We start from the raw sequence: 14169 nt of genomic DNA, 5'->3' as shown, positions 1-14169 counted from the left end.
AGCAATATGTTTTAACAAGCCTTTAAGGGGATTCTGATGTATGCTCAAGTTTGAGAACCACTGGCCTAAGCTAACAGTAATACACAGAATTATTGAAAGTTCATGGACTTTGAGGATTTGGAGACCTGAATTTGAATCTCACCTCTCCCACTTAATAAGTTTGTGACTATTAATCTGTCACCTAATATCTATGAGCATTGGGATTTTCACCTATCAAGTGAAGGTTATAATGTTTCCTTCCCAAAATTGTTGTGAAAATTAGTTAATATAATGAATGCCTAATATTATCACTGGCACACTGTAGGCTTTCGATAAATGGTAACTGCTTTTTATCATGATTGTTATCTTTTTCTTGATCTTTTTTCAGTGATTACTTTTACTTAATGAAAACGTGCTCATATTTTTGCTTTTAGATTCAAACGCTCAAGAAATTAAGGACATTTATGGACTAAATGGACAAATAGAGCACAAACTAGCTTTCCTGAGAACTCATGTGCCAAAGGACATGAAACTTGTGCTCATTGGCCATTCAATAGGCAGCTATTTCACACTTCAGATGCTGAAGCGAGTCCCTGAGCTCCCGGTAAGTAGGTCTCCAGAGGTAACTGTGGGTGCTGGACTGTGTGCCTGCACAAATCCTCCTCACCTTTCCTATGTTCTTTTGTCTCTTGTTCAGTTGATAAATAGAACAGAGAGAGGGATATTTGCTTTCTGCCTTTATCCTTATCTCCATATTACGATGGGCTTATGTGAATGTATGTTCATAATGTTTCAAAGAATAATGCTGAGGGAGATAAGAAGTTTCTGAAAGAATGCCTTTGAATCTAGGGTTATCGGAGTTCTTATGTTACACATTACTTGCTGTTTTTTATAAAGAAATATTTAAGAGCGGTCACTAGGTAAGACCTAGACAAGAATCTGTCTTTTGTGGGAAGGTATTTTGTAAATATTCTTGCCTTTTTCAGAAGGAAGAAATGTATCATCATCATCACTGATAGGCAAACAGCTGTCTTTATGGAACACTACATCTTTATTAATTCATAAGTTCAGATTCTTACCTATTCTGTATCTTGGCAGCCTTTTTGAGACACATATTCACAAATGCTTGCAAATATTTGTTGGATACCACTGTGTGCCAGATATTAAGTGAGGCGCTAGAGACGCAAAGACCTATTTAAAGTGCCCAGGAAAGCAAGTGAACTATAAGAGATATAAAACAAAACAAAAAAATTGTACTTTCACTAGCATATACCATTGAAATAACTCACTGAATGGATGCAATTCACAAGATAATTCATTTCTTTATTCAACAAACATATATTAAGCCCTTTCCATGTGTCAGATCCTGTGCTATGTTTTGAGGACATCCCAGAGAGTAAGACAGTCTTTGAAGTAGGAGAGCCTGGAGTCTGCTTGAGGAGACAGTCTAACCAATAGATGTGATACCTACTGTCTTGTTTCAGTTCAGGGGGTGTGGGAGCATGGAGTGCTGGTAAACCTAGTAATCTGAAGCCAAGATAGGACGTGATCGCTTCATGGCTGCTTTGTGCTAGGATTTTGACTGTTTCTCACTCCGTGGGATAAAATATCTTCAGTGGGGTCTCAGAGCTCACTAAGCACTCGCTCCTTTTCTTGCCAGCTTCACCTGCTTGCTTCTTATTCGTAATTGCCCTTGGGAAATGTACAACTATAGCCTCCCTCGCTGTGGTTTTTGATACTAAATGGAGGTTTTAAATTATTATTGGGTATAAGAAAATATGTTTTTCATTTCTAAGTGTGAATTCAATAAATTCAAGATTGTACTCTGTTCTCTGTATTATTGTCTACTGTGTTGGGTGTTTTTTCCCTAAATAAGGTGTCTTAATCAGAATGCAGGCTTTATTTTTCCTTTTAGCATTTTGCACAGCTTCTAATCTCTTTTGTGCCTTCGAAGTCTCCTCTAGTACTGTGTCATGTGGTTGCCATCTTTATGGTGTCCAGCTCTGCCTCTTAGTGGTTCTACTTGCACAGTTGCTGTGAGTTCTGGCAGTAGAATCAGGACACCTAGGTTCCAATATTTATTGTCCTTTTTTTTTTTTAGTCTGTCTGATCTTAGACAAGTTATTGAGTCTCTACTTTAGTTTTGAGTCTCAACCTCAGTTTCCTCATTTGTAAAATGGGGATAATATGTTCTTCAAAGTATTTTTGTGAGGAATTATATAAAGCATCAAGAATGGTATCTGTAACTTTAAAGTTCCAAATAAGTATTAGCTATTATTATTATTAGGGAAATAACTCTAGAGTCATTGTCTCAGTCATTAGGTTAACTATTGTATTAGGTATCTATTGCTGTGTATCAAATTGCCCCAAAACTTAGCAGTGTAAAACAATACACATTTCTTCACTCGTAGTTTCTGGTCAGAAGTCTGGCCACAGCTTAGCTGGATTCTCTGCTTCAGGGTCTCTCCCAAGATTTTAACCAACATGTCTTCCAGGGCTACAGTTTTATCTGAAGGCTTTAGTTGAGATGGATCTGCATCCAGGCTCACTCTTGTGGTTTTTGACAGGATCCCATTCCTTGAGAGTTGTTGGACAGAGAGCCTTCATTCAGCAGTGGCATTTGGGGGGAGGCCACCTTCTTTAACGTGTCGGCCTGTCTAGCTGACTTCATTAGAGCACACCTGGAAGAAGAGTCAAGGAGGCAGACAGCCTGCTAGCAGATGAAAATCACAGGCTGTAACCCAGTTACAAAGTGACATCCCATCACGTTTCCTGTATTCTTGTTAGAATCAAGTCACTAGGTCTAGCCCACACTCAAGGAGAGATAATTACACAAGGGCATGAATACTAGGAGGTGAAAGTCACTGGGAGCTGCCTCAGAGCTGCATACCCCATCATTCTAAAATTAGGATTTCACTTGTGTGTTGTGCAGTCAAGAACATGGACATAGGATGTACATAAATTGTTGCATTTATTTACTGGTGTAGGCAATGACTTGGACCTGTCAAATAAAATGTAGCAAACTGACATGAAATGTAGTTATTTGTTGTTAGTTGTTCCAGGTGTCTTAAACACTTTAAAAACATTAAAAAGGATACTTGCATATTTGAAATAATAGCATTACTGTTCTATAAACATAGGAAAGAAAATATTCATTTTGGAGCCCATCACAGACTATTATTAACTTAATCACAGATCTGTTTTGGTTTTTGTGTTTGCTTCAGATCTGTTCTGCATGTGATGTGTGGTTTCTCTTTTGTGTGTTTGAAAATGATTGTTCAATACATTGTCTTGAACCTTTCTCTCTTTTTGGGCCCATATTCACAATGTCTGTTGGGAAAGAAGTAGAATGCATCTCAAGGTTAATGTGCTTTCTTATAGCTTTTTCAGCATCATAACTTTCTAATTATTGTCCTGCCTTCAGGTGTCCTTGCTTTTGCAGGAATAGTGGTGAAAAGGGGAAACAAAGATGAAACGTGAACTTAACCTACTCTATTTGTGGAGACACAACTCAAACTGATTATAGAGTTTTCAGAAAGATATGTGAAGCTGTGTTTTATCTTCTTAAAAAGGGTGTAAGCTAGAAAATAATGTGTGCAATAAATTGTCCAAAGGGTGTAAGCTAGAAAATAATGTGTGCAATAAATTGTCCAAAAGGTCACCTCTTTTGGGGGGTAGGAGGGGCAGTGAACATCTGTATGATTTTTAAATTATTATTCAGAAGCTTTATCTGGTTTCAATTAACTACATTGTTGAAATTCCCTACCCCATCCCCAGCCCCCATTAAACACCTGGGTCAGTGAATATTGGTGGTGTGATCCCTGCCAAAGTGTTGAAATTTCAGTGTCTCTGGGCTACTCTAAGACACCGCAGTGCCTGCATGCCTGAAGTTAGCATGACATGCTCCATTTAAGATGCATTTGACAAATATGTTTGTGTAAGCCAGAATGTTACAATCCTTAATCATTTTGCCAAAAATAAGTTAGCTATTATGTTTTATAACATATGAAGTGTGATAATAAGAAACTTGTGTTTCCATCTCTTCTGTTATTTTTTACTGGAATATTTGACTCTTGTAAGATTTTGAGGACATATGTGTAGTTTAGTAGCTAGCTGGTTTATTTAGTTTTATTTTGGTTCAGCTCTTTGTAATATTTTCATAACTAATTATAGGCAACTTGGTCTTAAATCATTTTAAGAGACTTATTGTATATGTCAGATATACTGTCTGACCTGTATTTTAATATACTAAAAAAAAGTTGCCCCTTTAAAAAAATCTGGCATTTAAAGTTGTTTATCTAAACAAATTCCATACATAGAATTAGAGATATTCTTCATATATTTTGAAATTAGTGCTCAGTATAGGGAATTTAAAGAGAAACTTGAGCAAATAGGTAATTGAAAGACTGTTAAATAGTAGCTATCATGACTTACAATAATAAACATAATTGTTTTTAGATTCATAGAATCTTAGAACTGAGATAGGCTTTAGAGACAATCTGGCCCCATCTTTCATTTTATCAGTGGGAAGTGAGAGAAAGGTCCCTTGCCAGTATTCAGCCTTGGCTCTGCCTGAATCTGGGGTGGGGCATACTGGTATTAGCTGTGAGTATAAAAAGAATCCAAGAAGGTATTGATGGCTCCTTCAACCTGTGGATGATAGCAGAGCCTATAGCTATTACAGTGTGCCCTGCAGTGTACACAACTGCTAAGTTCGTGTGACTCATTGTGTTGGTGCTCCAAGAGTAGGAAACCCCGTGAATGCTCTAGCAATTTCAGGATTGTGTGTTGGGGTGGGGGGAGAATAATACAGAAGCAAAAAAGTAGTAATCTTATCTCCACTATCTAGAATCTTCTTTCTCTTATCAACCCTCTATATGTTAAAAATGTGTCACCTGATTTTGCCAGTAAATCTTTTTCATAAAGTTCAAGTTTGGGAGTTGAGTTGAAAGCCCTTGATTCTTCACTGAGTCTTGGGGTGAACTTTAATTAATATAACTTTAATTTTCCTCTAAGAATTTATATAACCTTTAATGATAACATGTTCTCCTCTTCGAAGGATATCAGATCCTTCACAAACTTAATTTTTTATATTATTTGGCCTTCTGTGCATAATAACACAGAGTTTCCTTTGTCTTCTGGTTAGCAAAAATGTCTTCTCTCTGAATGAAATTTCTGGATTACTTAAACTCACTCTCTTAAGTACCAGACTATTTTACCCAACTGGATAAAAATTTGTCTAAAATATATTACTTACTTATCTGCCTTCAGCAATGCATATTGACTATAGAGGAATTTTTTCTTAGTGATTTAAGGGCAGTGGTAATAACACTATTATTTTGATAGTGTTATGCTAGAATAAAATGTAATCAAAAGGAATGTGCCTGTGTCCTGAAATTTCTTAGGTGATAATGCTTTTTCATTTTTTAAAAAAAATGTTTCATGTATGTCTATTTTAGTTTTTCTATCTCCTCTCTCAGTGTTAAGTACTTCTTCTCTTCCCTACTTCTAATTTATTGCTACTAATTTGCTGTGGGCAGAGAAAACCAGTAACTACATTATAATTTTTTTCAGTAGGAATGAACAGGTCCTAAATAGATAAAGGAGTAAAATTGACAGCATTAAATGTGTGGACATTGTTATCACTCAGCCTTTTTTTCTCTTCTTTTGAGATCCTCAAAAAGGATGTTTTGGGGCATTTTAAGTACTCAAAATTTTAGAGACTCAACATACAACTATAGCTGAGAAGTTTGCAAAACTTTACTAAAAGAATTAGAATAACATGTTAGATCATATATGTTTTGATTCAGGAATATACCTCATCCATACTAAGGAAAAAATAGCTTCAGTGTTCTCCAACAATGAGATTATTGAGACTGTGGTTTACTTACACTATTCTGCTGAGCCTTCATGTCTGCTGTCAAAGTAAGACATGCTTGTAAGAAGCATTCATATTATGTCACTCAGCTATGTTTAACAGTTGAGATAATCTGGAGGGAGGGAGAAGAATAGGAAATAACTCATTTGTCGTAGTAAATTTTGTCAGAATCCTATCCCTAGATTCAAGTGACAAGTGACAAGACACGGAAGGCAAAATGAGGCAGTACTGTAAGGCTCAGAAAGTTTTGTGGAGAGGGTTGTCTTCTACCTGGGAAGCTCAGAAAAAGCTTCCTGGAAGAGCTTCAGGGCCACTGAAGGATGAGTTGTATCTGGAAGTAGAGGATTTTATATGGTGGCTAGGGGGTACTGTGCATTCTAGGCAAGGGAGACAGCATGAAGAGAAATGGTTTTCATCACTGGGCACGGGGAGAGGGCAGTGGGTGGTGTGACTGGGTTGCGGCAGAGTGTGCGTGGAGGGGTCGATCGGGCATGAGATTCAAGGTTGATAGAGATGGACAAAAAGCTGGGCTAGGGAGCATGGGCTCATTTTCTGGACAGCAGAAAGCCATTGAAGGATCTCTGATGATAGCAGTCATGCATCAGGTAAATTAATCTCTCAGAGAAAAGGAAAATGAGATGGAGATAGAAAAAGTGCAGCATAAAAAGTGAAGATCCAGGTGACAGGAAAGTTTACTAGTCCAAATAAGAAATAATGAAGACAGTGTAAGGGATAAAATTGCCCAGGGAAATTGTTGAGAAAAGAGAGAGGCCATAGATGTGTATCAGCGGAATGATTTCATTTGCCATAAAGGAGTGTTACAGGATCTTTGGGGTGTTGCTGTTCTGGCCAGAAACCTGTGGTTGGCGGAATCTTTGCCTGAGTTTTGCTCGGGCCCACTGGGCTCGTTCCACCGACTCTGCCTGACAGGCTATGCTCAGCTCATGCTGCCGGCCTGGATCCTATGCCTCCAAGGGAGACTAGAGTCAGGCGTGGAGTGATGAGGGGTGTGTGTGAGCGAGTATGGGGTCCAGCCACTGCACAGTCAGACATGCTGGCTGCTGCCATGGGGCAGGCAGCTCCAGGTGCCAGCATGGGTGTCAGCTCTCTGTGAGGCTGCAGCTGGACCAGGCACACTGTAAGCAGCTTCCCCAGCTGGCACCAGGGAATGCGGTGGCACCCAGAAGCTTAGAGACTCCAGGAACCACAAGGCCCCAAAGAGGGAGTCACAGCTCTGGCTCAGGGAGCTCCCAGGTCTGGGCTCCCTGAAGTGCTGCAGATTTTCTCTCCTTCTCTTCACTCGCAACATGGCGAGCAGGGGGCATGTTTCAGCTTTGTTTGTGTTACAGCAGCTCTTTTAGCCTCGCCACTCATCAGGTCCTGAGTTCTTGTTCTGCGACCAGGAAGAATGAGGTTTGCAGACATGCAGAGGGTGAGCAAGACAGAGAGGAGCTTTATTGAGCAATAAAACAGCTCAGAGAAGACCCGCAGTGGACAGCTCCTCTGTGTAGCCAGGGTGTCCCAGTGAGTGTTCAGCTCCTAGCAGAGAGGGTAGCTCCTCTCTGCAGCTGGTCATCCCATCCTGCAGCTCTCAGCAGAGAGGAGGCCCTGTAGGTGGCTTCTCTGTGCAGGCAAGTCATCCCTTTGTCTGGATCTCTTGGCAGAGATAGTAGCTCCTTTCTGCAGCAGGTCATCCCATTGTCTCTCTGTCCTCTGCTCTGCTCTGGCTGAGCCCAGGGCTTTTATGGGCCTCAGAGAGAAGGAAGTGCCCACTGATTGGTCCATGGGCAGCCAGGGGTAGGCCCAGAAAGGGCACCACAAGTCCCCTACTCTGGTCCCTGGGACTGGCAGCCTGGCCCCTAGCCTTCAAACCCTCCCTGGCCTGCAGGTGGGGCCTCACCGGAGATCCTCCCTCTTCTGCCCAGTGGCCCATCTGCCTCCTGCCAGCATCTAAGGCACCCAGGTTGCTTGTGCCAAGGGGCACCTGCAGGCCAGTGCTGAGCCGCCCTCAACACACCCCCTCAATTTCCCCTCATGCTTGTCAGCACCCGAAGTCCAGAGGGGACTGAGGTGGCAGGGAGCTGGCATGTCAGTGCTCCTCAAGTGTGTGCACACCCAGCCGGGCTGTGACAGTGACCAGGCTTGGCCCCAACCCTACTCCAAGATCAGAGCGGGCACCAGGAGCAGGGAGAGGTCATGGAGTGGAGCAGGCCTCTCCAAGCCTTCAAGGGCAAGGGAGGGGGGACTTCCCAGGCCCCCAAGGGCACAGAGAGGCCTGGGTCCACAGCCTTGTCTTGGGCTGCTGCCTGTTTCTGGCTCTAGTGGCTCCATGGAGCATGAAGCCCAGCTGCACCCCCTCACAGCCTGGGGCAGGGGCTCTAGGTACTTGCTGGGCCCAGGCCAGTGTCAGGGTAGGGGCAACATCTCCATGAGCTCCCCCAGTGGCCCTGGCATTCAGGGGCAGCTGGGAGCTCCCCCTCGCCCAGATTGTGGCCCTGCCCAGTGCGCACCTCCAGGAATGGATTGCAGGCCCTGGTCTGGCCGTCAGGAGTGTCAGGCCTGGTGGTCACCCTGATGCAGGGCAGACCCTGGGGACAGAGCCCTGGGCGGCCCTGCGCAGAGCCCCCTCCTGAGGCACAGAAACCCTCCACTGCTGGCCGGTCCCCGAAGCAGGCGTCACAGTCAGCTGCCTCAAGGACGTGGGGCACAGGGGACCCACCACCGCCATTGCAGCTCCTGTAGCCACTTCTGCTGCCACCGTCTATGCCTCCCCACTGTGGATAGCCCCCTGCTGCCATCAGGAGGGGAAAGAGGTGGAAGTCACAGAAAGAGGCAGAAGATATAATAATTTTCCAAACTATTGGCTGCAATCCATTAATGGATCCCAAAATCACTTCAGTGGGTTGCAACCAGTGGATCAGTCAAGACAGTAGACTGTGCTATAATAACACAATGTCAGTGGCTTTTAACAACAAAGGTTTGTTTCTTACTCATGATACAAATCCTTTGAGGGTAGGCTGCCCCTATGAAGATCTCTCTATGCAAGCTTTCTCCAGAATCCAGATTGATGGAGTAGCCTCTGCCTGGAATATTCAAGTCCCATGGCAGAGGATATAAAGTGAATAGTGAACCACACCTACATTTTAAAACCTCTGCCTGGAAGTGAAAATTTTCACTCCTCAAATTTTATTGGACAGAGCAAATCATATGACCAAGTCAGCCATCAATGAGGCTGTGAAGTACAGTCCTCCCCAGAGAATGGAAGCGTCTGTTTGTGACCAATGAAACAGTGTTTTTAAACAATGTATAATAAAATCAAGTAAAATAGAATAGAATAAAAATATATTGCAGTAAAGGCATGTATTATGAAACTTTTGTTTCACTTTGTGTGTGTGTTGATAACATAGTAGATTATAATGTCGAATGTATATCTTACTGTGAGTTAAGGTAAAAAAAAAAAAAAGTTTGAAAACCATTCATCTGGACTAGAGTACACCACAGCAGCTAAGAACAGAGCAAGAATGTCAAGAAAGGGGTAGATATATGGAGGATTACAGATGGCCACAGATTTTTTTGTCATTCCTCTCAAGAAATGAAACCTGTTTCCCTTCCCCTTTAAATTTAGGCCAAGCATGTGACTTACTTTCACCAATAAGATACAGTGGAAGTAATGTACTTCTGGTAGCTTCAAGTCCAGGCCTTAAGAGGACTAGGAGCTTCTATTTCCTCCCTCTCAGAAGCCAGCTGCTGTGTAAGAAAGCCGACTGCCCTGAGACCACGAGGCTGAGAGAAGCCCAAGCTAGCTACGTAGGAGGATCATGAGGCACCAGGCCTGAGTGAAACCTTCTCGGGTCTTCCAGCCCATCTCAGCCCAGCCCATCCGCCACTGAATGCAGCCCAATGAGTGACCCCAGCCCACACCACATGGAGCAAAAGAACCATCCAACTGAGCCCTATTTGAATTCCTGACCCACAGAATTGTGAGAAAGCAAAATCATTGTGATTTTAAACCATAAGTCTAGAGATGCTATGTTATATAGCAGTAGATAATTTAAACAAGGTAACAGGGTTGAATGTAACAAATGTTGAAGGCTTCAGGCTTCTAGAGTAAAAGGTTCTTGGTGTCCTCGAAGACAGACTTTTAGTGAAATAATGGGACAAGGGGGTTGCAGGAAGTTAGGTGATAAATGGATAGTGATTCCACTGGCCAGTGAAGGAGAAGAACACATAATAATTTAAGGAAGAAGCTGGTCAAGGGAACTTTTTTTCCTGTAAGTAGGGGAGAATTTAACATATGCTGAGAGGAACAGCCCAAGCGTAGAGAGATGTCGAAAATGAAAGACAAATAGGAACTTTTGTTGGAACAGGTTTCCTTCCATTTGTCTTTTAGTCTACATACTTGAAAACTTGGAAAATGGAATTTTTCTTAATATTTATGTCTTTGCAAAAGTGGTTTACCCCTTCCCTGGGGTGTAGGGGGAACATATATTACATATTTGGTTCTCCTTTTCCATCTAGAAAAAGTCTAGCTCAATTTTTAAAATTGATGTTATTGTCATTACTAACAGTGATTATACCTAACATTCATTTGAAATTTATAAAACGTGTTCACATGTAACAAGGTATTTTAACAATCTGATTTTTCCCATCTTAAAGATGAGACCGAAGTGCCAAGGAGCCATGTGTCCAACCCATATGTCAACTAGTAGAAAGTAGCAGAGCTGGGACTCTGTATTCTGTTTTCTAACTTTCCCACTACCTGTTTTCTAGGTGAGTTAGAGAGGTGATGATTACAGATGGTTAGACTAAGTTGCTTTCACAAATCACCAAACTATTTGGCCTAAACTTAAGATTTCTATTTTTGCTTTTTTAATATTTGAGTTCTTCAAACACACAGTGAGTGTTTTAGTAGGAAGCAGGTGAATGCATTGGGAGGAGTTCAGAGAGAACTGAGAGAAATGACAGCATGTGTGAGTGTTCTGGAGCATAGGAGATAAAGAGACTGTTGAGGCCTGGGCCAAGGGCAGAAATTAAACTGAAAAGATAGTAAATCAGAGTCCTAGAATTGAGCTGGGAACAGAAGGACTATGAAGGAAATTGGAGGATTCTGCAAACATAGTGCATAGTAGTTTGACAGTTACCTCTATGTGACCCATTAATAAATCCTGCTGCGTGAAAAACACAGGCTTAGACAATCAGCACCTAACTACTCTGATTTCTGAAAGATTTTCCATTTCAGAAAACCGTAAGTCTCTTACTCTAAGTTTGTATTGTAGATGATGAAATGCTATTTTTCCAATCACTTATGCATTTATTTAAGTATATATGTATCTGCATATTTGTGCGCACACACACACATTATCTTTTCTGAGTTACCCAGAATACCTTGCTAAAAACTAGACACATGGACAGTTTCAACTTTTCAACTTCAGCCATTTTTAGTTATCTGTGTATTTTTTTAAATCCTGAAATTGCTTTCAAAGTGGAAAAATTGTGTGGGCTTTTTTCATCTTTTCATAACTCAAAAACGACTTAATATGTTTTTCTCAAACTTTGCAAAAAAAAAAAAATCACCTTTGGGCTGAAACCAAGCATGGAAAATTTCACCACAAAGGGCTAATTTTTTGGAAAGCTGCAAGAAAGTGAAAACGGGTTTATAATAGAACATTCTTCATGCATGTTAATACTTAGTACTTTATCTAATGCATTTCATCTGAGAATTTCTGAACACTTTTCAGATTTAAATATTGAGCCATTTTAATATTTGTGTACCAATGATATATTGTCAGATATCGAAAAGTTCCCCCATCCTCTCAGATGTCTAATAGCTTGGGAATTAGTGAGATGTGTTTAAAATGACAGGTGGGGCAAATGAAGTTAAGTGGCTGCTAGCCAGAGAAAGCTGTATATTTACTGCCCAACACATTTTATCACTACCTCTTCTTGGCCCAGGAGTACTGTAGTTGTAAGTAAAATATAATAGATGACACTGGGCACTAATTTGAATAAGCCAACATGTCTCAAAGTAGTATCAACAGCACCTGTGATCTTGTTAGAAATGCAAATTCTTCCCCCTCTTCACCCCAAGGGGTGGGGCTCACCAACCAGCATTTAACTAGCACTGCAGGTGATTCTGGTACATGCTTAAGTTTGAGAACCACCTACCTAAGCTTTCCAAAAGCTTGGAACAGAATGCATTGAAATGCTGTGGACAGTTAAATCTGTCCTTGGTCTTTCTGTGATGTCAGCTCTGTCTTCTCATATCCCTTGGAAGCAGGAGGAATATGAATCAAATTCTCTGAAGGAAAGGTCTTCTGTGTTAATGTGCTCTAGTTCTTTCCACCTATGACGTTGTCCATAAACACAGAGACTCCCTTGAGTAAATGTGCTGATATCAGCTTGTTCAGGGTAACAGCACTACCAAGATGTATTTTCTCATTTCCTTGAATTATTAGGGTCAAAACTGAAATGGGACTATAAATTTCTTTCTTATTTCTTTGGAATCTTTTAAGTTCTAAGATGGTATCAGATGTGTCAGTGGAAGTTGATTGAAGCTCTTTGGTGTGTAAGTTCTCAATCTGACGCTTTGCAGTAGACCTCTGCATTTCAGCAAACTCCATGGTCTGTATTTTTGTGTCTTCAGGCACGGAAATAGTTGTTTACGTGGCATTGTAACAAGTTTTGAAAATATTACCCTGGTGATGGAAGTCACTAGTCTGTAGTATGTGGGCCTTTAGCTAATCCTTTTAGCTTAGGTTAATTTCTTACAATAAATAATTTGTAGAAATTCATAAAAAGGACAGCAAGTTCTCAAAGATGCAAAGGATGTGAACAGATAATTCACTGAAGAACTAATATATCAAAAAGTGTGTGCCTACCACAATGTGTGATAGTGTTTAATGAATTAGTATATAGTAGTATACTTAATGATGTCTGTTTATATTGAGTATGGTAGTATTTGCTAATGTTCATTTGATGAATGAACCTCAACAGTTATCAAAATTAACTATTACTATTACATAGTCTAAAAGAAAAGTTGTGTTGTGTATGTGTGTACTTCGATATCCATTTTAAATAAGTTTGAACAGGTAAATACCAGGTGGCTTATAGTAGTTTTCTCTGGTGGTTAGGGGTAAAGGATGTATTGGAGTGAAAACTCTACATTGTTTCTGCTTTTCTTTATAATGACCATGTATTATCAGAAAAAAATAATTTCCATTAAAAAAGTATTCATACCCTTTGAACCTACTAATTCTTTTTTTTGGAATTTATATTAAGAAAACAGACAAAGATAGAAAAAATCATGTGCAAAACTATTATCTATTATAACAAAAAATTGGAAACATCCTAATGTCCAACCTTAAAGGCAAGGTTAGGTAGAGTATGGAAAGTACAGCCATTAAAATTATATTTGCAAAAGACATTATAATACATAAAAGTTAATTATAGAATATTAAGGATGTCAGAATACATAGAGAATGTGTGAATACAACTGTATAAAAATCACACATGGAAAAGCTTGATAATTATAAAATGAATTTAGTGGTTGTATTTAAGTGGTGAGTTTGGGTTTTTTTTTTCTATTTTTTATTTTTGAATTTTCTGTAATGACATATATTTATTCACTATTATAGACATTTAATGGTCATGCATTTTTCTCTCTCTTTTTTTTTCTTTTAAGGTGATTTGTTCATGTTACTTTAGAGCAGAAAGTTGTTCCAGGATAGATCTTTTTTAAAAATTTAATTTTGGATTCATAGGGTACATGTACATGTTTATTACATGAGTATATTATGTAATGGGGGGGATTGGGCTTCCAGTGTACCAGTTACCCAAATAGTGAACATTGTACCCAGTAGGTATAAATTATGTTTGCTTTGTATATTGTCAAGTTCAGTGCAGTCCTTCTTAGGGCTCAAGTTATCCTACAGGGCCCATATTAAATACCAACCTTCTTAAGTCCTTCTGGGTACAAGATAGTTTATAAATAGACAAAAGAACAAATAAGTCATTAGCCAAATGTCACTTCCTGCATGAAAACTTTGCTGATTGCTCCGATAGAATATAACTTCTGCTACTTTTGGGCCAATGATATTGTCTCCTGTAGCTTTTCTGTTGTGGCTTGTAGCTTAAGTGTAATTTTTTTTTATAGCCACAAGAACAAGAGCTGGCTTGTTTTCTTTGTACCCTTGCAAGTTCTAGCATAGGGTCTTACACATCCCAAAAGGAAGACATCCATTTTTTTTTTCATTTAATTAAATTAAACTATATGAAAGTTACATCAGCAGCTTCTGCTGGTAAAATTCTCACTT

At 40.1% G+C, this 14169-nt stretch overlaps 1 protein-coding gene across 26 annotated transcripts in view; it reads left to right on the top strand.

Moving 5' to 3' along the window:
- Positions 1–14169, top strand: part of LDAH (lipid droplet associated hydrolase) — a 140613-nt gene that overhangs the window by 47709 nt on the left and 78735 nt on the right. For all 26 annotated transcript variants that reach the window (XR_007079565.1, XR_007079563.1, XR_001738874.2 and 23 more), the window contains one exon: positions 414–583. Coding sequence is in view for 9 of the 26 variants with exons in the window: in NM_001282720.2 (NP_001269649.1) it covers positions 414–583 (170 nt within the window). In the remaining 17 variants the exon portion in view is untranslated. The remainder of the gene's footprint in view (positions 1–413; positions 584–14169) is intronic.

The sequence above is a fragment of the Homo sapiens genome, chromosome 2 (assembly GCF_000001405.40).
Source record: "Homo sapiens chromosome 2, GRCh38.p14 Primary Assembly".
Taxonomy (NCBI): Eukaryota; Metazoa; Chordata; class Mammalia; order Primates; family Hominidae; genus Homo; species Homo sapiens.
This window is presented reverse-complemented; position numbering and strand designations above follow the sequence as displayed.